Source organism: Homo sapiens, chromosome 1 (genome assembly GCF_000001405.40).
Source record: "Homo sapiens chromosome 1, GRCh38.p14 Primary Assembly".
Classification (NCBI taxonomy): Eukaryota; Metazoa; Chordata; class Mammalia; order Primates; family Hominidae; genus Homo; species Homo sapiens.
In genome coordinates, this window is record NC_000001.11 from 88,165,434 (window position 1) to 88,189,610 (window position 24,177).

General features: G+C 38.0%; 2 annotated features.

Annotated features, from left to right (window-relative positions):
• Positions 10,059 to 11,258: an enhancer, noted in NCBI's record as "CDK7 strongly-dependent group 2 enhancer chr1:88641175-88642374 (GRCh37/hg19 assembly coordinates)". NCBI's record gives its function as "activates an origin of replication core promoter dependent on BRD2, BRD4, P300/CBP, MED14 and CDK7 cofactors, with strong dependence on CDK7, by STARR-seq in HCT116 cells {active_cell/tissue: HCT116}" and the evidence as "EXISTENCE:reporter gene assay evidence [ECO:0000049][PMID:35650434]".
• Positions 15,194 to 15,243: a silencer, noted in NCBI's record as "silent region_1050". NCBI's record gives its function as "represses an Ori minimal core promoter by ATAC-STARR-seq in GM12878 lymphoblastoid cells {active_cell/tissue: GM12878}" and the evidence as "EXISTENCE:reporter gene assay evidence [ECO:0000049][PMID:35858748]".

Here is a 24,177-nt window from a genome sequence, read left to right on the forward strand (position 1 = left end):
CCACAAGATTTATCTCAAATCTCATTTTGCTTTTTCCTTTCTCTCTCTTTATTCTCTCACATAGTACCTCTCTCACTTCTAGAGTTTTTCCCTGAGAATTTAAAATTTATCAGACCTTTATAAGTGAAGCAATATAGTCCTGGATATTACTCCAGCTTTTTCATAGCCAAATCTCTCAAGGCCATGAAACCATAAAAACCCTAGAAGAAAACCTAGGCAATACCTTTCAGGACATAGGCATGGGCAAAGACTTCATGACTAAAACACCAAAAGCAATGGCAACCAAAGCCAAAATTGACAAATGGGATCTAATTAAACTAAAGAGCTTCTGCACAGCAAAAGGGTTCCTTCTAACAGGAACTCTCCACCCTATGAAGGAGTTCAACTGCCATCTTTTGTTTCTCAAGCAACCCTGAGGTGCTCACCACCCATCTCAATTAACTGTTCTAAGCATTTCTCGCAAACATGCGTCAGTTCGGTGTCCCCAAGGGGAATCCTGCTGACAGAAATTTTATTTATATAGTTGCAAAGTTACTAGTACAGGAGCACACAGGACTTCAAGCCTGGATCACTGGGAGGATCACTGTGGCTTCATCAGAAATCCGAAAATAAAGAGCTGGAAACAGGACCAAAATCCTTGAAAGAGGTTAGGGCTGGAAACTTGAATTTGGGGTGCATTCAAGATTGAGTTGACACAGGAAGAGGGAATGAGAAAGAAAAGACAGAGAGAAGAGAAGCCTGAAGGAACTGCATAGGGAAAATGTATGATGATAAGGCAGGTGCAGGAAAAGGAATGTGTGAAGAAGACAGCAAAGCCAGAAGCACAGAATAAGAAAATGAGAAAAAAATTCTGTCCTGGAAGCCAGAGCAGGAGAGATTTCCAGGTTGCTCAGCTGCAGAGGCCAAAAATACAGAAGCCATCTTTGATTCTTCTTTTTCTCTCACACCCCACATCCAATCCATCATCAAATCAGGTTGACTCACCCTTCGAAATGGCTCAGTCTGACCACCCTTCACTCTTGTCATTTCTACCAGCTCAGTCCAGGCCATCTTGCCTAAGATTGCTGCAAAAATCTCTGCTTCCGCTCTGCCTCTAATGTTCGAAACCCAGCATGGCAGTCAGAGTGAGGCTTTTAAAACGTCATGCAGATCACATTAGTTCTCTGCTCAAAAACCCTTCACATGCTCTCAAGTCTTTCAAAGCCAAAGTCCTTACAATTGATAACAACAAGTCCCCCGTGATCTGGCCAGGAACCACTCTGATTTTGTCTCCTACCACTTGCCCGGCTCACTTGCTCCACTCTATCATGGCCTCCTCCTTCTCCTCCTAGAACCTATCAGGCACATTCCTGCATTTGGACCTTTACATCCGCTATCTCCTTTTCCTTGAATTCTCAAGTGAGACATCTAGGGTTCAAAAAGAGGTAAGGTCATATAAGCGCCAGCCCCATAAGTCTTACAATTGATGGTGATTTTAATTAGACAATATGGTTTTTATTTATATGTCAATTCCTTGTGGTCTATATTTTTCCTGTAATGTGTAAGGGCAGAAATTTTTATTTGCTTTATTCATCCATAGATTTCAAGTACCTAGGACAGTGCCTGAATATACTAGGCACTCAATAAATGTTTTTTGAATGAATAAATGAGGATGGTGTGCCCACAAATACCAAATGCTGCAGATAAGTCATATAACTCATAGATTTAAAAGGTATTTAAAAATTCGGGAATAAGATGATCATTATTTCTTTCTAAAAGCACAGGCAAGGTCATAAACCAGTGTAAATGATGAAGTGAAAGCAGGAAACCTGAGAGCCACTTTCTAGAAATTATACAGCAGTGTTTTAAAAAATAAGGTGGCAGGTATTAGTTACCTTTACTTGGAGTTTGTCATGGAAGGAAAGTTGAGAAATAAGACCTTAGCTTGTAGGTCAGGGGCAGATAAATGGTGGGATGGGCTGCCAATGAAGGTTTATAAGGAGAGAGAGACCCACGGTTTGCAGGCAAAAGGTACAGCTCCAGAGAGCACTGAGTTGCTGAAGATGTAAGAAACAAGTAATAATTGGCTCTGTGAGAGGAAAAGTAAAAGAGAGAAGAAGAAAACAAATAAGGTGGAAGAAGAAAAAAAAGACATGGAGCAGTTTAATAAAAAGAGTCACTTGGAAAGATGGTCAGAACAGCCCAGTGGACAATGATAAAATGCTCCTAAAATTATAATCACCTTACATATTAGATCTCACTCCTGTGGTACAGCAGAAAGAACTTCCATTTACGGCAAGGAGGCATTTGAACCAACTAAACTGAATACCAGTTTAAAAAGGAAAAGTTCAAAGGTAAGAGGTAAAAGCAGATGAAAGTCAAATGCTTAATCATCTTAAGACAACTGCAAGAAGATGTCCAACTAGTAAAATAAACAGGCAATCCTTTTAGTTCTTCAAAAAGGGATTGCCAGCTTTTGCAGCTATCAAGATATCCACTAAACATCTAAACTTGAAACTTCAGCTGGAAATTAAACCCACTACTCCATGCTGTGAATGAAGGGCTCTGATCTTAAGAAGGTTGGAAAACAGGGTGGAAAAAAGAGAGAAAGAAAGAGGCAATTTTCATTAGTGTCTGCAGTCAGCTAGAGGGATATTCAAAATCGCATTTCAGATGAAGTATGAGCATGAGCAATATATTCACCTGGTGCTCACAAATCCCAAGGAAAGTTAACTAGCCACTTGGGGATGTAGTTACAGTTTCTCTACTGTAGATGCACTTTGGGAAAAGGGCAATAAGTTGGAAAGAGTTCTGCCAGGAATGAGATTAGTTTATACACTGGTTTCAAGCCCTAGTTTTTCACATATGTGAAAAATGAAACTAGAAACATGTGCTCTGAGGTTGCACCTGATTCATTCCTTGTTTTAAGTCAGACACCTAGAGTGGTGATCAGGCCTGTTGCTTTATAGGAGGATTCACTCAATCTTTCCCCAGAGGGCTTATCAAAGTCCTCATCAATATTTTCCACAAGAGGACAGTGATCCCTTTTCCCAGGATCAGGAAGGATATATGTGACTTTTCCCACTTCTTCTATCCCATGTTAGATCCATCAACACATTTCATCACTTAGTTAACTCAAACCTGCCTCAGTGGAGCACATTTTATTGTTACAGCTTCCAAAAATTCTAAAGAGTAAATTTCCCTTCTATTGTACCAAAAGCCTTTAAAAAAATCAGAACAAGTCTCATATATATCCAAAGTAATCAAACTTTCTTTCCTGGTGTGCTCAAAATCTTTGTTAGCTTGTAGACATTTAAATCCTGTGCAACTCTTTTGTCTTTTAAAGCAAAACCCAGCTAGCTTACATGTCATGAGAAGTAAGCACACATCCTTTTTAGAAAATCCTATTACTATATAAAGTTTCAGCTGAATAGCCACAGGTGCAAGAGGCAGTGTGTCTGAAGTTCTCACTCACATTCTCTTTTATTATTGCCTATTTCAACCAGCATGATCTATAATGAATACATTGGGTTTTGTGCTCTTTCAGAAGTTTCAGCAAGTGTCTCCATGCCTTTACCTTAGTGTTCCTGAGAGAAGGAGAGCCTCGAGGAGGGGTGGAAGAAATTGAAAAATACAAATAACAAATCAAAAATTACAATTGATTGGATAAACAATTTCCCTTCGTCTGTTTCTTAATAAGTGATCGATTTTGTGATCAATATTCATTATTTCTCAGAACATACCAAACTGCTTATTGAACAAATGAATGGTTGAAACTACAATGACACAGAATCAAAAAGGTGAACTAATTTTTTTTAATAACATGGGTTGAACAGACTGTCTCATCTTACCTTGTTGTTCCACATCAATGCACTTTTCTGCATAGCCCTTTGGAAAAACGCTGAAGTTCAGGAAAACAGGAGGTAATTCATTACTCATTAAAAGAAATGGGTTATGGGAACACATGTTTGTAAGTATGACGGCTGAGTTGCAGTTTGTGTTGGACTGTCTTTTGCGTGTTCAAAATAAACCCTCCAAGCTACCAAACCAGGATCCCCCTAAAGGCATTGCCTTTTGAAGTTAGTGTATTCCATGGATGTATACAAAGTTGAGAAGCCCAGAGCATATTTGCTTTCTAGACATACTTTTAATTGAAATTCAGGAAGATGACTAACAGATATTTGGATTGAAATAAGTTAAATCAACTACTCATTTGTCACCATTGTCATTTTGTTTGCTTGTTCTATAACTTCCAAAGCATTTACTTGAATTCAACCAATTCTGATAAACTTACAAGCATCCAGGTTATTCTACTTTGCAGTTTCCTTCATCATCTTGAAATAATGTGGTAACTGATATATTTTTGAATGGCCATCTTCACCCTGATTTTTAGTGGCTTCGATGGTCTCGTGTACATACAAAGAGGGTATGCAGAAATGCAACTGCACTGGCAGCTAGTATTACCGCTAACCTCACCAAATTGATAACACTAATCTGGGAACAAGCTCCAATATTTAGCAGAGGTGGTCAACAGGATCCTGGCTGGATGATGAACATGCAAAGGTGGGCTCTGGCTGTGGCTGCTGGGACTCCCCTGCCCCTTCCAGCCTGTAGAGGAGTGAGGAACCACAATAGCTTGCTTACTTCCTTTTGGGCTCTACTTTCTTGTCCCCCATTGCATAGTCCCATAGTGTCTGTTACAAATGCCTAACTACCTGGCTGTACAAGAAATGCTGGATTGATCAATTATGAAAGCAACAAATGATTAACTAGTTTCTTTTTTTAAAAAACCACATCACTTACTTAAAGTCAGTCATCCAAGGCTTATCCAAACTACTTAGGAAAACCTCATTAAATCAGGCTCCCCTAATTAGAAATTAGATAATTCTGACAGGAGCAAAGCTAAAGTTTACCTTTTTACTGTCTGTAAAAAAATATTTCTGCAAAGCAAAGGAATAACATAAACAAGACAATGATTTTCTAAATTTAAAGTTCCAGGATAGATTCAATATTCTCCTAAGTATCTTGACAGCAAATTGTCAACCTTGAAGGTATCTTCATGCTATATGTAAACCTCCACCTACAGAAAATAAAGCTTTAATTGTAAAACATTCTTATCTATCACTGAAGAAGGTCTCAGTAAAGACTTTACTAGGTAACATAATTGGAGACTAGTTATAATTAAAGCTATTTTAATATATGCATAAGTGTCTCATTTTATACTGCATCATCAGGATTCATACAAGTAAAATTTTCAGACAACTGGGATTTTTATTTTAAGTAGCAATACTAATTTATCTTAATTGGGCAGGTATGACCCAGTGATGAAACATGGACGATCTGAGTCTACTTCTGGCTGCATCTTGGGCAACTTAATGTATTTTTGCCTCCGTTTCTTCATCTGTAAAATGGAAATAATAATGGTAACTCTTCATAATCTTTTTCTGAGGATTCTATGAGATAATGCATTAAAAAGCTCTTAGATAAATGTTTGTTTCATAGTAAATGCTCAATAAGTTCAAATTACTACTATTTAATCCTTTTTGAAAGAACTTAGAAAAAATATTTTGCATAATCATCTGCTTTCTCCAACAGAGTGAAATGAGCATAATTTAACCCATTCTTATTTATTCAAAATCACCATCATGAAAATAACTCTATTATGCTTTAGGGGACCACTTTTGCTTTTATTAGGTCCCATCAAATTATCATACTCATCTCTAATAGTTCTTCATCTCCTTCTTTTCATTGCTGTTCATTATCTGTTATCGGTATGTCCCCGGTGTTTCTCATAAAATGCCTTATTGTATACCCAGTGGTCTACAATATGAGGTTCTGAGAGCAGTGCCATGTTCTCCTATCAAGTATATTATATGTGCTTTTGGGAAGCTGTTTTCCACACAGCTGGGAAGATCTTTGCCATGTTTTCCTGAATTCTAGAGTATAGTCAATGGTCGAATTTGCTAAACCTCTGAGTTCTTCATAAAAACAGTGTTATCATATTTAAAAGTCCTGCATATATGTTTATTTAGAGTTCCACAATCAATAATTTTCACAGAGACTGGCCATCCCCCAGTTAAGAACATTTTATAGAATTCATTTCTCTAAATCACAGATACCTTTAAATTGATAGAAGGCCATTGTACTCAAAGTGGCTTATTTGTATTCTGTAAAAGATGGTAACGTGATAATGTACTGTTTCTCTCCACCACCCACTTTCACCTATGAGTTACAGCAATATAAAAAGTGTACAAGTTTGGGGAGATTTGGGGGTAGAATTCTTCCCCAGTCTTCCATCATCTAGTCTGAAGTCTCTAAAATAAGAATCACATCAGAAAAATGAGATACGGAAAACCGTTAACAGCAAAGTCTCCAAGCATGGTGAGTGAATTCCTCTAATAAGTTTTCATCCATCAGCATCAAACTAAGCACAAATGGAGTACAGGCTTTATCTTACATGTGCCACATTGTGGTGTTTTTCATCTCATGGGGTGTAACATAAGCTGATGTGGCATTCAGGATTTACAGAATATAGATGTATTTTACTTAGCAAGACAGAACATGTTTTCTCCAGAGAAGAATAAATAGATGTTGAAAGACACATGTGCTCTGAAACATCATATTATACAATGTCCATGTTATTCCTCTAAATGTCAGATATAAAGGAACCATGAAGCCAGGGACAGTGGCTCACGTCTGTAATCCTGGCACTTTGGCAGGCTGAGGCGGGAGGATGGCTCGAGGCCAACAGTTCAAGACCAGCCTGGGCAACACGGTAAGACCCCATTTCTACAAAAAAAATTTAAAAGTTAGCTGGGCATGGTAACACATGCCTATAGTCCCACTACTCTGGAGGCTGAGGCTGGAAGATGGCTTGAGCCCGGGACGTTGGGGCTGCAGTGAGCCATGATTACACCACAGCACTCCAGCCTGGGCAACAGAGTAAGACTCTGTCTCTAAAAACAAAATGAAATAAAAGAAACATGATCTTATTGCATTATTCAATGTTGATCACTGGTGATCGTGATCACTTGTGAATGATCATAAAGATGTCAGCCACTGGTAGTGACTCCCTGGGTCTGGTGGTAGCATTTCAGCAGAGAATGATGTGAAGGAAAATAGGAAAAAGTTGAGGGAGAAAGTGATGGCACCATCAGCCCAGAAATTAAAATAATTATGGGGATAAAGTAGAATCCACCTCTTCTGCTGCCAGGCTTAAAATAGCATAAGAGGAAGAAAGCTACCAACTCCAAGCAGCTTTCAGTGAAAAGATTTATAGGTCTTTAAAAATACCGGTTTTCCCACTAACCTGGTGTAGAACATTACTGTAATATGTTTAAACTAAAAAGCTACCTCAATATCTCCCACTGGAAAATGGCATAGCCCAGAAAAGCTACTTGAACACTTAGATTTTAGACATCCAAATGAATGTCAGGCTATATTCATAATCCAGGGTAGCAACCAGCCATCCATGGGATGACACCACCCTTGGATCCCAACCACCTGTGCTTTGACTCAACAACTTGGCCATTGCCAGGGGCCATGTCCTGGCTCCAGCTTGAAGTGTGGCCTTGCCTTGGCCAAGATCTTTCTGTCTGGTGGACCCAGTACACAGCTGTACTCTGGATTAGAAGGAGAAAACAGCAGTGGTGGCTGCATTGCCCTGGACTACAGTTCTGCATTCTCACAAAAGTAGGAAGAAAGAATGTTGTAAAACATGAGAAATTGTGTTTTATTCTCTTAGCTTTCAAGGTTTTTACATTATTTTCTCCATCACCCCTTGAATCCCAGTAATTATCAACCACCACCAAGGGCCAAGGCTATTTACTACATGCGTGTTTTTACCCAATCAAAATCTGTTTTTAATAAAGTTGAATTAAATCACTCTGAGTGACATAATTACTTCAAGTACTTCCATCACCCAAGGAGATTCACATTATAATGGGGATCAAGGCCGTAAAGGCAGTTTTTAATCTGGGATGCAAACGGTGATATACTCAGAGAGAGAAGAAAAATCTTAGCTCTTTTACTCATATGTATTTTTCTTGCACAAAAATTAGAAGGTTCACTGATATTTAATATAGATTTACTCAGCCACTGTTACCCAGCCTGCCTTTTAAGTGGTCATATGTCACATAAGTTACATGAAAGTGACCTGAAAAAAGAACAGGAGTCCACAGTGTAGAAGAGTGGCAGGGTGCCTTCAGGTCGCCAGGCTGCTCACAGTTGACTGGATTTGTGTATTATGCTACCAAGTTATAACTAAACTATACCACACAAAATGAGTAAGAAGATTTCAAAATCTGTGTCCGAAAACTCTTTATTGGCATCATTCATGGGCAAAGAAGTTGAAGCTGGGCCAGGCGCAGTGGCTCACGCCTGTAATCCCAGCACTTTGGGAGGCCAAGGCAGGTGGATCACGAGGTCAGGAGATTAAGACCATCCTGGCTAACATGGTGAAACCCCGTCTCTACTAAAAATACAAAAAATTAGCCGGGTGTGGTGGTGGGTGCCTGTAGTCCCAGCTACTCAGGAGGCTGAGGCAGGAGAATCACTTGAACCCAGGAGGCAGAGGTTGCAGTGAGCTGAGATCTGCCACTGCACTCCAGCCTGGGTAACAGAGCAAGACTCAGGCTCAAAAGAAAAAAAGAAAGAAATTGAAGCTGAAGTGTCAAAGTCCTTTAGGAATAATGACAACCATGACAACCACAAAGCCTTTAAAATATAGTCAAATATTTACCATTGTTGTTAATGAGATAGAGAAGGGCCACAAAGATCTTTTGTATCACAGTGGTTAGGTGTTTATCTCATGAACAAGAAGTAGAAAAATCTTGTGACATTTCAATATAAGTGTGCATTTTCTTTTGCAAAAAGACAAGGGGCATATATTAACTGACTTATGTACTTAATCTGGCCTTTAAGGTTTAACTTAATGTTTTAATCATGGATGAGAAACAGTGTATTTAAAACTAAAACTTGGATTACAGAAAGAATATTTTTAAATTGGTATTAAGAATCATTTCCATTGTAAAAATGATTTTGCTACTAAAGATGATGTGTCTGTCACCACGTCTTCATACTTCCTAACAACTTGAAAACAGAATATTATAACCTGCTTAAAAACCTTCCAGATCAAAATTCTCAGAGGGATTTAAATTCATTTGTTAAAAATACATAATGTATACCTTGTAATTAGTTTGCAAAGACAACTGATTGACACCAGGGAAGATGGGCATTAGCTTTCCAAGGAGCCACACAAATGCCTTATAGTGATGGAGGAGACCCAAATCTGGGTATCACAAATTCGTAAATGTAGCCACAATGCCTTTTTACATGATACCCATATACTTTGATAAAATATTATTTTTTAGCTGTAATAGCCTTTAAAACAAACTTGTAAAATAAACTGAATTTAGACCCAGAAGTAATGTCACAAAAATATTACACCGAGATGAAAAAACAGTTTGAATTATAACTAATCATAGTCATAATAATAATCTTATGAAAGCAAAAGGTTCTGTACCCTTATAAATAAAATATTTTTATTTCAGGTTTGTCTCCTTAAAATATTTGCATATGTTCTATTAGGTATTAACATACTTATGCAATAGTACATAGATAATATATAAATCAATAAATGTGCATATTTGGGGATAAGTACTCAAAAAAGTTTACAGATATGATACATAATTTTAAAACTTTGGACCACTTTTTTTAGGAGGTTTCTTTTTATTTCTTTCTTCTGTTCTTTTAAAAACATTCCTCAGGTGGCATTTCAGATTTTAGAAAATCAATGAAAAGCATGGGCACAGGAAGTTCTTTCCTCTCGCCTCTGAAAGTCGCTCAGAATCCACCTATGCATGAAGCAATCACGTCCTGCCTCACAGCTGAACCAAGTAACTGTGGTGGGGTTAACAGGCATGAGTAAAAATTTCTACACAATTGAGTTAGCCTCAAGTGGGAAAACATGACATTTCTATTTATTCATTTCTTCAAAAAACCTTTCTTGAGTTCCTACAGGCTCTTTCCAGGTGCTGGAGAAACAGAGTTGCTTTAGACTCACTCATTCTTGCAAGAATGAGACCCAGCTTACCTTCCCTTTGCCTACAGAGGGCCCACAAGAACTCCAATTTAGAAATAAGGAAGCCATCTAGCCACTTTGTGAAACAGTTATACAAATTGCATTTGCTGTGTGCCTTTAAATTGCATGGAGCAGAAGTGCACCTGTGATTTTAAAATATTCCTAACAGTGTCCTCTGGATATGCTCCACCTTCAGCTACAAACATTCTGCCGGCGAATGCTATTCCAGTCACTCTATTCCTTCCTCAGCCCTTCTGTTCTTCTGCCCACACGTTTCACGGAACTACCAGAAGCCACCAGGCAGGCAGCTGCCACAGAGCGCCAAGCAAGGATGATGATTTTAACTTCTTGGGGTACACTGTCCAAATGCCAGAAAACACAGGATCAAAGAAAATGAGTCATTCTGACAGTCACACAGTGCAGACAAGAGGGCAAATTCCATTCTGCCCCTGGTTACAGGAAAGGGTAAGCGTTTCAAGGTCTGTTTTGTGTACTTGTGGTTCAGAAACACGTTCCCTGAAAGTATGCTGGCAAAGTTGCTTAGATCTTTCACACAGTCCTGAGGAAGGTACCCCAATTCTTTAAAACAAGCTTTATGTTGCACAACACACTCTCATAAGAGACGAGTTGCATGATTTCCATTTTCTCTCTAGGCTCCTTCTTTCTAACTTCCGAAAAAATTCCCGTATCAGAACCTGATCAAAAGCAATGCAGAAAATAAGGTACATTCTTTAAGTACACACACACAGAAAGAGAGAGAGAGAGTATAAGAAAATGCACCAACCAAATTCATTATCACAGTTACCTCCCAGAGGGTAGGTAGGGCAAAGCCATCAGAGAGGAGTACCCTCTATCAGTAGGTAAGCTTTGTATCTTAAATTGGGGAGGTGGGTAGTACATAACTGTCACAAGTCTTGATATCTTTGGAATTCTTAAATATAGTTTAAGTTAACACTTTTTTGACCTTATTGCCTTCAATTCCCTATAGCATTAACATTCCATATAATGATCTTCTCACTACATAAACACTCAAAGTGAAGAAACTGAGCCCTGGAATCAGATAAATCTAAAGTCAGAAGCAGTTCTGTAACTTACCAGCTGAACAAACTTAGACAATTTCCTTAAACACTCTAAGAATTGGGTTTATTCATCTGAAAAATATGCAAAAATAACAGTATCTACTTCATAGATAATTAGGAGAAATAAATTAGGTCATGTATGCAAAAACTTAGTACTATGCCAAGCATATAGAAAGTACTCAATAAATGTTAGCTATCATCAGTAATTATTTTATGTTTTCTCAATGGCCTATATAATACTCCAACACTCCAATATTGTGGACTGTATTCACTGAACATCCCTTTTCATCTTTACTTTCCCAAGCAATAGGCTAAGTTTAGAGTACTAAGAGATATGAGTCTTGATTAGAGAAAGCCATACCCTTTGAGCCAAATTCCACATTCTCCAGCAGTTTAAGATAAACATCTTCTGTTTCAGAAAATAATCTTTTTGTTCTTCTTAGCTTCAGGAATTGGAAATGGATTGGCTCTGGTGCCAATGCACCAAAAAGAGATTTTTTTTTTTCCCACTATTAGAAAAGGCTTTCATAAGGAATAGTCTCACTATGAGTTAAATGCCCTGAACATATATACTCAGCAAGTGTGGTTTTCTCACAATTCTAGACATGAACATTATGATAATTATATTTACACATCTATAGTTACCACAACCAGGTACTCAGTATCAGGGTCTTTAGCTGTCATAAACCAAAACACTTCCGTAGCATAAAAGACAACTTCTAAGAGTCCCACCTCCAGACAAGACTCCAGCATTTACCAATATTGCCCGGCAGCATAAAATATGATCAGACATTCTTCCTACAGAAAGGTCTCCTGCGAACTACATGTTTTGTTTCCCCAATGCAACCCCAATGTACAATGGGATGCATTCAGTCCATAACTTGCCATCTCTCCAGACATGCTGGCCGTTCTCCATGGATTGAGGATGGCTCTGTGTGAGACCAAAGAGGTAATTTCAGCAGCACCATCAGTCACTTGGCTAGTTGTTATCGGCATTGCTCAGGGAGCCATGAGGGTGGGAGATGATCCAGGAGAGGTTTCAAAGCCTTTGCTAGTAACATAAAGACCACAGCTGCTGCCTGATCAGTGGCCATGGCCAACAAGCACAGCCAAGACGCATTCTATTTTTCACTTGACTTTATTCACTTCTCCAATAGTGGTAAATCTACCCATATTAACTGTGGGAGCTTCACTTTACATACATTTATCTTCAGGATTTGGGTAAATGCTACATTTTCCTTTGGAGTTGCCTCATGCAGGAACCATAAGTGGCTGTGTCTCCCGGTCCCAAGATCTGGCTGATAAATGAAGATGGCAACTCCTTTTGTCTTTTAGGTTGATTATCCCTGATCCTTAAGATAAACTGACTCAATTATTATCATTGACTTTCAGCTCTTAACCACAAGCCACACAAGTCAATCTCAGACTCTGTATTGTGATCAGGTTCTCCTATTTAGTGGCACTTTATCTATCCAGGATTTGGTTCTGGAGAGATTTCTGTTACCAAAAGTGCTAGTTCCTATTTCAGGTCACCATTTGCTGTTTGGTCTATATTTGGCCAATAGCACAAAATCCTGTTTGAATAAATCTGGTGTATCTGCTGTATTTTTTCGTAAGATGTGTACCTGGATAGTTCTAATTTGTTATCTAGTCCTACTAGACATCTAAAAACATACCTCTGTCATTCAGCCCAGCAACCTTCTCTGCTGTGACTATGCTGATGAATAACAAGGAGGAGTCAGTGTCTCCTTCTGAAAGCCAGCATTTCTCTTCATCAAAGCCTGATCTCTATACTGTGCCCCATCTCCCCACTGCCACTCAGTCCCCGCCTAACAAATCCTCCCTTCAAATTCATAGCACTTAGACATCAACATGAATAAGCTCCATGTTCAAAGTCATCTTTACTTGTAACTAGTTTGTATTAAGCATAATGCCCTGAGTCAGGATGTCTTTTAATCATATAAAGACTGAGAACTTAGTCTCAAGGAACTTAAACTTAAAAACAACAATAACAACAACAAAAAAAAAACCAGCTTAGATATGAAGATGTTGATTTCAAGCACATGAAACATAATGTAAGTATTAAAACAAAACATATAGTTCCATCTTTAAACATGTCTTCAGGTTGGTTTTGACATAAAATTCCCATTGCTTTTCTGAGCTTGCCTCAAAATAATTCTGTTTTCTCCGAAAACTCCATACAAGGAAAGATTAGTGTTCGTCTGAGCTCTTGAACTCTTCTGATTCAAGCTTAAGCAGACTGGCATTGTGTATACTATGCATATAAAGTTGTAAGTGTGACAATTCCTTAAAAACTGAATTCAAAAAGAAAGTATGTGAATGAGCCTAGTATAATGGCTAGCAAATAACAATAATAAGCACTCAATACCTCTGAAAGAACAATTCAAATCATTTTGTCATAAATTATGATTTACATTTTTTTCTATAAATGACTATATAAGAGAGAATGAGGTTTTTTCCCTGTACTAACTATGGGAACTCTAGCTCTAAAAAAAAAAAAAAAATTGGAAAATAGGCAGGGATACTTACATACGTATTTCAAGATAAAAACAGAAAAAGTATAGGTGAATCCTACAACAGCCTGTAACTGGGAAACCTATTATCCAAAATTTTTTCCAAGTTTCTGTTGCATTAAGATACCTATTTTCATGAGGTTAAAAAAAAAAATTATTAAGGGACCGGCGCAGTGGTTCACACCTGTAACCTCAACACTTTAGGAGGTCGAGGCGGATGGATAACTTGAGGCCTGGAGTTTGAGACCAGCCTGGCCAACATGCCAAAATCCCATCTCTACTAAAAATTTAAAAAAAAAAAAAATTAGCCGGGCATAGTGGTACATGCCTGTAATCCCAGCCACTCAGGAGGCTGAGATGGGAGGATTGCTGAGCCCATGAGGTCCAGGCTGCAGTGAGCCGTGATGGCACCACTACACCCCAGCCTGGGTGACAGAGTGAGACTCTGTCTCAGAAAAAGAAAAAAAGTCCAAATCACCTTAAAAAACAAAACTGTCAGAAAAGAAAAAATGTAGTTAAGAAATGTGGTTATTCACACAGTTCTTCTCTGGTAGCCATCTTGTTTTCTACCCCAATATATAAGGTCAATAATTCTAAAACAATAAAGAGGGGATGGGGAAACTCCTTACTAACGAAACACTTTAAACGAGCTCCCTAAATACTTTTAACTAGCATTTAATTTATTTTTAATCAGCTGCTTATCATTTATTAAATAAATTCCAAAGGCCCCAGGATTCCACAGCCCTTAGATAGGCTAATCTCCCATTGGGAAGCAACACGTATTAAATAGTTGCTAAACCTTGGTAAATACACTTTTAATAATTAATTCTAGAAGTATTTAACTTGCAGTTATATACCGGATATTTCAGCAATATTGTAATCCATGGGATATTGCCGAGGGATTTCTCAGATTAACACATTTGGGTCCCTGAGTCCCATCTGTATACCTCTATCTGAATTAACAGCAGGTGATTCAACACATGGCTACCAGCTCTGTGTCTGAGTGACCAATGATTTTATTACCATATCAGTGAGATCAAATCAGTGAAATGCATCAGCTGAGGAAATGCTTTGTAAGGGATGAGACAGACGGTGGCTTACAAGTCAACCCGGGTTTTCAAAAATGATAACTACTGAAAAGAAAAATTACTTTTCCTGTTGAGATGTGTAAATATTATGTAGATATTCTAACTCAATCTCTATGATGGATGGCGCTCAATTTTAAACATATTTCAGTAATGCCTTAATTTAATAGAATGGGAGATACACAAGATGTTGAAGGATCAAGGTGAGAATAAATTTTCTTGCACAGATGGTTTAGTCTTGTTCTAAAAATCCATGGGATTCTTATACTTTCCTCTCCATGAAAAAAAAAAAAGGCTTTGCTTTCTTTCCTTTAAAAAGATGTTTTGAGTAACCACTTTGTTAAATTCTGTATATCCAGTCCCATTCCTACTAGCCTTGTGTAACATAACTATAGTTCCTCCCCCCACCAATGTGGAGTAAATTGTTAACACTGAAGTCAGTAGCGACCTTTGTCTTGAGCGGAGCAGTTCACTTCCCCACCCAGGCTGACAGAGACTGCAGATTGACCAGCAGATGGTGCTACAGAGCAGGCAGCAGCCCAGGGCCTAACATCCTGGAGCTCAAGGACTGCATCAAAGACTCTCAAAAGGATCTTTAGTCTTCTGGCTAGTCAGTTATCTCATCGAGTAAGGAACTTGCCATTTCCTGTCTTTTCTCTGCTCCATTCTTTTTCCTCCCTCGTTTCATAAATGTATTTCTTGTACTCTTAAAAACAGCGTGGCCTGTCCATAGCATGACCCTTGAGCTCTTTCCTTCAGGGCACCATGAGATACCTGAATAAACATGGATGGTGACGAAGGCCCTTTCACTCAAAAAGAAGTATACCTTTCCTGCACCAGCTAACACGAAAGCACACACCACGATGATGTTTTAGTAGTGATAAAAATCAAACATTTTCTGGAGCCATTATACTCTAAAATGTTAATGAAGTTTACTTTTTAAAATGTGATCGATAGATGGGGGAAAGTGCCCATAAATTACTAAAGGCAAAAAACATTCTATTAGCATGCAGTGGGTTTCGCAATGTTCGTTGGTCTGTGTTTTACTGGGGGGAAAATTTTTAATCTGCTGAAAGCGTGAGTTCTGTTTTTGTTTTTGTTGTTGTTGTTGTTTTAAAATACCTGTCTTTGTCTTTCATGGTACAAGAGGGATATTTTTAACATGACTCATTTAGGAAATGTAATTCTAATGCAGTATAGCTATAGGTTTCAATTAACGTTCTACCTTTCTGACAGTCTTTACATTACATGTTTTATGAAATCATTAACTATTGTCATGTTTCTATTATGATACTATTAGGAAATAAAGAGACTTATGTAAATGGAGATGTAAAAGAAATGTATGACAGTTACTCCGAGCAACATCTGTGCACTATCATACATGCTCACACTAATTTTCTAAAGATTGTTCCATTCATTATAGAGCATTGTTAGTTGCAGTGGCACAACCCTTATTTCCATGCATTTAGGGAATGAAGCAGAGAGTGGGTAAATGAGAGCCTAATCAATACCACTTTTCATTTTGCATCTAATGTGCTGCCTTTCCCTTTCTTTTCCTCATGCACAAATCCAAAAAAGATCCTGACGTTACAGTCATAAAATGTAATTCTTCTGCAGAAACACAGACAATAATGCTTTCTGTATTCAGGCGTATTGCATATTCTAATGGCATTTGGCTAAATTGAGTATGGATTTAACATCAAAGGCTTCATGAATTTTTCAAATGAGATATTAAAGTCAATATTTCAAGTGAAAGATATTTCAATTTAGTTGCATACACAACAATAAAAAACTTCTACAAGGTAGAGGTACTAGTGGCTGTAGCAGTATTAATTCATTCAAGAAATTATTAGTTTATAAGAAAATCAAACACAAGGTTGTGATATGGCAAAGACTGAATAAATTAGACTAACCGATATGCACCAGTGTACTTTATCTCTTGCAGGCTGAAACAGTACACTTGCCACTGGCATGTTCAGGGCTCCTGGCTGATTTTTTTCTAAACTCTGTTGATTAGCATGAAGATTTGCATTGCCATTTCATAAATCTCCTTATTTTCATTTGTACAAGTGGAAGACTTAGGATACGTGAAAAAAGAGCCATTTTTAACCTTGCACTTAAGTGGATCTTACTTCAAGGTGTCAATACCTAAAGTGGGTCTCCACAATGATGCTAAATGTTGCCTTTCGGGCAGGTTAGAGGATGCTCAGTTTCGGTGTGTGGGAAGGTGCTGTGGCTTGCTGACAGCCATCCACATCATGGCAGATAGCTGAGATTCTGAAACAATACATGTAAGTTTGGATTTCTAGAACACCTCTCCACTGAAGAACTCAAAGCTGATTCACACTCATTGTCTCATCCATCTATCCAAATGCCCAATGAGAAGCAGAATGACAAAGGGTGTTTTCATCCTTATTTCACAGATAACAGACAAACAGAAGGCACAAAACCCAAAAATGACTTGCTTTCCTGCTGGCCTGTGACCCTTTGAGGAAGGCCCCTATAAAAAGGGAGGCACTAAAACTGGAACTAGAACTGCCTCTTCTGCTTTCCAGTCCAGTCTTAAACACTGAACTGATGCCCCTTTTTTTCATCCATGATGACAACAGGTTGGTCTGTTTGGGTTTGTATTAGCTTTTTGGCTTTGCTCTGTAGACATATAGAAAGACATTAGCCTGAATTTTCTGCAGAATAGTCCTCATCTTACTTCTTTGTTTTGACTATTGCAACATAACAGTGCCTTTTATCCAGTATTTTCAAGCCCTGATCAGTTTAATCATGGATTAACCCACAACCTCAGATAGACAATCTATTAATTCACAAATACTTTATGTAATAAACAGTAAAACAACTCACATATGTACCCGCCAACGTGGAAGCAATGACCACTTCTGGACAATAACATGCCGCCTACCCAGCTAACCTGTAGGCAGAAACCCTCACCTATAGTTCATAGCTAAGCCAGACACTGAACAATGCAAACGCACTCAGCTCTGCGTCGTGCCTATTAACTCGTCTGCTACCAGTGCATTATTTAAACCAGTGTCATTGTCAGAATCCCTCACTTTACTGAGGCTCTTAAAAGAAACGGCATTTTAAAGGCCCAACAACCCTGAAATACATGAAGATTTCACACAATTGGAAGGACGATTGCCCATCTTTAAAATAGGAGAAATCCTAATTTCATAAATACTCTGTAATGAGGAAGATGCACGCACACACCAAATGTTTTTTCTTTAACGAGAGAAAAATATTAGACTCGTTACTTCTTGGAATTTCAAAGGATGTGAAGTCCCCTGAGAGGGTGTTTTTCATTGACCCATCACACACGTACGCACAAAATACTCACTTCACCTGGTTACGTTAATAGCAACTCCAATGGCAGGACTTATTTTGCAACTGGATTGCGAGAAGATATTTTTCAGTATATCCATACCCACCCCGAAGAACAACAACAAAAAGCCTCCAGAACTGAAAATTGTTTCTTTGCTTCATTACATCTAAATGATCAGACTCATTCCAGTCTCAATTCTCAAACTTCCCTCCCTCTTTTTATTCCTCTTTCTTTTTAAGGGACCCTATTATAGGGAGGAAAAGCAAAATGGAACAAAGCTACAATTCAATGCTCATTTTAAGGTTTTCAGTTATAACAGTGCTCCTGGGCACGACTATTATATATTGGCTTCTTTGGGAACTGTTGATCTTTTGAGGTTTATCATTTCTTTATATAAACTGTAAAAGGGAGCTTTGTGAAGAACAAGACTTTGTCTCTAACTAAGGTCTATATTAAAACTCAGCCCAGGCCATGACTGGAAATGGAGCTTGTGGACTAAAACTATTCCCTCACTGGCCCCTGCCCACATCATAAAACCAGTAAGCTATTTGGCATAGAAGAAAAGAGATGGGAAAGCGTGAGAACTAAAAGCCGGCCGACCACGTACCTAAGAGCCATGAATATAAACACAGAAGGAAGGGTTAGCTAAGCTCTAGAAGGCGGCAAGGGGAACATCAGAGGTTTATGTGATATTCAGCGTTCATATTCCTAAAAGAAAGTGCACATTTTAAAATTTTCACTGCACATCTGTGCATTGCTACATTTTTAAGGGCCTGCTAGGACTGGAATTACAGGAGATTTGAAGCTCACGACCGAGTAGCTCTGGCAAAGCTGCATGGGGGAGGAAGGCTACTGAAAATCATGGGGGGAAAGGTAGAGCCTCTGCCAAAGAGGAGCATTAAAAAAGGGTTCTAGCCGAGGAAACTGTCAGCTTTATATATGGGAACTGGAAATGGAAAAATTGGTAGTGCCATTGAACCTGAACAGCAGCTGTGAAATCAGAATTTACTCCCTAATCTGAATTAACTAATCAAAACCAGGTCACTCCTCTTCCTTCTCTCCACTACCCACCGCATCGCCCCTGGGTTATTTTTCATGACCAATCGCATTCTGCAGCAAAATAAATAAAGAGCAACAAAAACAGAAATAGTAAAGGTCAATGTGTCCCCACAAGACCCAATGCACTTGAGATTTATCAATGGAGCAAAGAACATAGATTTTTCACCTTTTGTCTTTTCATCTTTGTGGTACATACACTCAGTAAAAAAGAGGAAGGTTACATCCTCACCATCAATGTACTCAAATAGAAGCCAAGAATGATCTTTAAACGATGACTGCTGAAATCTAAGCACCAAAGAAAGCTAAAAGGTAAGGACTACATAAAGCAAAACAACCACTGTGCTAGTAATTTTTTTAAATTCAGATTCTCAGCTAATTTTATACACAAGCACTTTTTGATCAAGCAGAAGCATTTAATAAAATTGTACTGGTCAATTATCCAAATACATTAAAGGGTGTACACTAGCCAAAGCACAATTTGAAGCTCTTATTAACTCGTGATTATCTTCACTGATCCACATTACCATTCAGTTGCAGATGTTACTGACATTAAGATGTATGATGCAGAGGCTGGAGAAAGAGCCCATTTAAGACAGGTGAATACTTAATAGTAATTCAACATACGCGGCACAAAATGTCTTTCACACGAGTTCAAGGATTTTCCCTTTTTTCTCCTTGCAATTTTATATGAATGTTTATAAATAACATGAGAAATGAAACTTCATTTGGTAGCCATTTGATAGCTCAGCTTTAATGGCCATTTAAAACTTTGCAATATATCATTTTAGGCTTCTTTCTCATCTGGCTTTATTTTTATTTATTTATTTATTTATTTATTATTTATTTTTATCTTCATCTCTAAATCATTATCAAAGCCTCATATTTTAAGTATGCAGATAAAATTTATCTGACATGGAGCAGTTGTTTATCTTTCAGTTTTAGTAACCCCATAGCTGAAACTGTAATAGTTAACTGACTGCCCACTGGATGCAGAGCAGACCCCCCCCTTTTTTTTTTTTTTGACATGGAGTCTTGGTCTGTCACCCAGGCTAGAGTGCAGTGGCACCATCTGTGCTCACTGCAAGCTCCCCCTCCTGGGTTCATGCCATTCTCCTGCCTCAGCCTCCTGAGTAGCTGGGACTGCAGGCGCCCACCACCACGCCTGGCTAATTTTTTGTATATTTAGTAGAGACGGGGTTTCACCGTGTTAGCCAGGATGGCCTCGATCTCCTGACCTCGTGATCCACCCGCCTCGGCCTCCCACAGGGCTGGGATTACAGAGCAGACCCCTTTTAAGCCCTCTTTTTGTTATCCAGCCTTCTAGTATTACAGAAAGACTCACTGCCTTCAACCCCACCACACGCCCTACGTCTCATTAGCCAGCCCATTGATCTATTCTATATGTTTCTTAGGTGCAAAAAAGCGCTTTTTGAACAGAGGAATATTATAAGACATACAATTAAGCAGATGATTTCCTAGTATAGTTCATGGATCAGTCAATAGCATATTAGGGGCACTTTCTTGATTTTTAAGAAAGAGAACCTAGATATTCCAGTAAGAAGTAAAGAGGTTAAAAGTGAAAAGATTCATGGGGAAGCACATCAACACCATTGGAAAATTTTGAGTATGATTCAAGCCATCAAGTCAATCTCCCTCTCACTGACTTTCAAATGCAAATGCCAATTGGTTACTAATTTTATATATAGATTATATTCACACAAACTCTTAAGTAGTTAAAAAAATTGCAAAAGCAACAAAGATTTTCTTAGCAACCCTATCCTTTCTGTACAGTTCTGATCTTTAAATATCCATCTTGGATAAACCTGTGCCACACTGCAGCTGGTCAGAACCTTTTACTTCAAAATCCAGCCAAAATAATGTTTCCCCCAATTCAACTTATTCTCTATACTTGCTATTTTCTTTGAATTTCCTCCATTCTATATTTCAATCCATCCCCCAATCTTGCTCTCCGGAGGATTGATTTGAAGTAAACTATTAATGGCCAATAATGGCAGAATATATGCCATCCCCCAGATGCTATTTCTTTTTCAACAATTCTCATTACCCAAAAGAATAGGTAATGGGAGATTACACATATAACTGGGCCAGTGAGAAGTATATTTTGTCTGAGGAAGTTTTTTCCAATCATATAGCATAAACATCTACTTGTTCTGCATAAGCATAACTGATCCTGTAAACATACACATATGTGTATTCATAGTTTTCTTTCCCGTATTTGGAAATATATGTGTGTTGCTAGTTATTATTGTATATAAACAGAAATTTTACAGTTTTTAGGGGAATCTATATAATAAAATAGCTGCACATTCAAGCCTGGAGTTTCCAATATTCTCCTTTGTTCTATCAGACAAAATAGATAATAAAGAGTGACTTTTCCTCAGGTCAAGAAAAATGAGTCTCAAGTGGTCTGAGTTGTCTTGAGCCAGTAATTTTCATACTATGTTAAGAGGAGCTACAAGTTTCCTTTGAGGTTTCCATGGAGAGGAAACTTGGGGAAAACAACATACAAAGTTTGAATTAGAGGGTGGTTCTGTCCTTCTGACCTCCTTCTTCAGCCAAAGCACCTCTACTTTTATTGATTTTATGTAAAAGGAGTCTGTGAATGATTTTGCCTGAAGACAGGCTTCCTCTGCTTAAAAGCACAGTATTGTCCTCTTTCTAGGAAGAATGGTACTGGGAGAACAAAGACTTTTCTCTGTGAGCCAAAGGGAAAACCCCAAAGTTGAGGTCTTTAGCAAGTTTCTCTATCCTGGCTAAAGGTTCTGCTGGGATCTTTTGAACACCAGGCCCAATCTGACTTTGTCTCTTTCTAGGCTCCTTAGAAGCACACATAGAGGTTGTACAACAGCAAAGGTTTTCAACAGGACTCATCCTCAGAACCTTTCTTGACAATACAAGTAAATATATAAATGAATAACTTATGATTATTTGGCTCCCCAAAGGAACAGAATTCCTAGTGGATAACATCTAATTTGCCCACTTAGCAGACAGGAAGCTTTGTTTGTTATAAGTCAGTGAGTTAGGATGTAAGCTAAGAATAATCTTTGCAAAAATATCACTAGAGGATTGTCCTTAGTCCAAATCATTACACCTGGAGCTACGAAGTGTTACTCTAACCATAATTTCCCACACCAGCAGAATTAGACATGCACTTTACCACTCTGCCAGGGGACACCATAACATACCTTACAGGCTCCTTTCCTACTAGACATCCTACTCAATAGATGGTCATATAAATAGAGTTGGGGTCAAGTGAACAGAGTACCACAAACTTATGGTAAGTTCTTTCTCACTGCAAGTGTTATCTCATAGTGTATGATCCATCATCACTTCAATGCACACTTTGGTTCCTCATGGAAGACTTGTTAACCTAATCACTTACTAAACTCTGAGAGTGAGGGTGAAAAAGACAATGAAAACACAAATAATAGCAATGAGGATAAAATAATAATAAATTTGCTCCCACTTTGTCAGACACTGAGAAATTTCCATTTTGCAAAGATTTCACACTTCCTACATCTCTGTACAACATATGGTATGTTCTAGTGGAAGTTAATTAAAGTTCATGTTTGACTGTTGATTCATCCTTATTTCAGAGGACAGTAACAAGAAAAGGTGCTCACACAAGTCTGGAACTACCAGTGGAACCAGTTAGTCCTTCAGTCAAATGTGTATGCAATCAATTAAATTCCAACTGTAAAATTGTATTAAAAGTACAGAAAGAAAAAGCTGCCAGTAGGTCACTGAACAGTGTGTGTTTGATGAAATACTTTCTCTGGTTGCATATTTGAGAAAACCCATTATCTCCTTCCCTAGCAAAAGAAGACAAGGCTCTAGAACATTAAGAACATAGTGTTTTCCTTGTGAAGGTGGTTATGTGGTACAGGAGGGGCTCCTTGTCACCAGGTTGCTGTATCACCACCAAAATAATGTTCTTGTGGAATAGCATAGTGCTTAAAATACAGTAATTACTGTTACAGTATGTGCACAGCAACGTAAGAACCGCATCTAGAGCTATACGTGGTACCGAGAGTTGAGAAACAGCTGTAATTTTGGCTTTAAATATGTTTACGAGCATTCTGAATGGTTTAATCTTGCTGTGCAGCATATGATTTTAATTTTCTTTATGGATATAGGGGGCAATGAAATGCTGACTTTTGATATAATAATCTTTCAGGTTTAGGAGGAACTATAGGAGGCCAGTCAGTCCCCAAGCCTGCCCTCTTAAATCTCTACTTATAAAGTTCTCAGTGATAGATGTAAGCTTAAAAAAAAATTATACCTCACATTATATAGTATGTCTTTTATCTTTGATTTGAATGAACCCTTTCAGTTGACTACTCAGGCTTGCAAAATCAGGGAAAACCTGTAAAATGGAGGCACATATCTTATTTACAAAATAATGACTCCTTTCTTTGGAACAGAATAGAGTATTCCAAAGAAAATTCAATTTCATTATTTACTATATACAAAACTTAAGGAATAGTCATCTTTATATTGAAACTTATATGTAAACATACTTCAAAGCAAGTGCTAAATTGGTCATTTCTTAGGAATTGCTAAAGCAGATTTGCTTACAATAAAAAAAGAAAAACGTTTGAATTGGCTCTAGTTATTGTAAGTTAATTGATCCTACTTTGATTTGTTTCATTTAAAAAAACACATCTCAGACCAGTTAGTAGTTGAAAGATTAGTGATAGAGAAGAAATGGATCCTACAAAAAAAGATGCACTTAATGAAAAATAAATGATGTCATTTCCCTCAAATGATTTCTAGTATGACAGACTTATAAATATCCATTTGACTAAAACTAGAGAAAACAAACTTTGATAAACAAGTCTTACTTGCAAGGTGTGGACTCAGGTAGGTAATTTCATCTGCTCCTTAAAAATATTTTTTCTGCATCATAATCTTTCTAGAAATGTCTTGTTTTGTCACCAAGGTACAAAGTTACTTCTCAAATTTAAAAAATGCTTTTGTCAATCAAATATTTCTACCAGCTTCT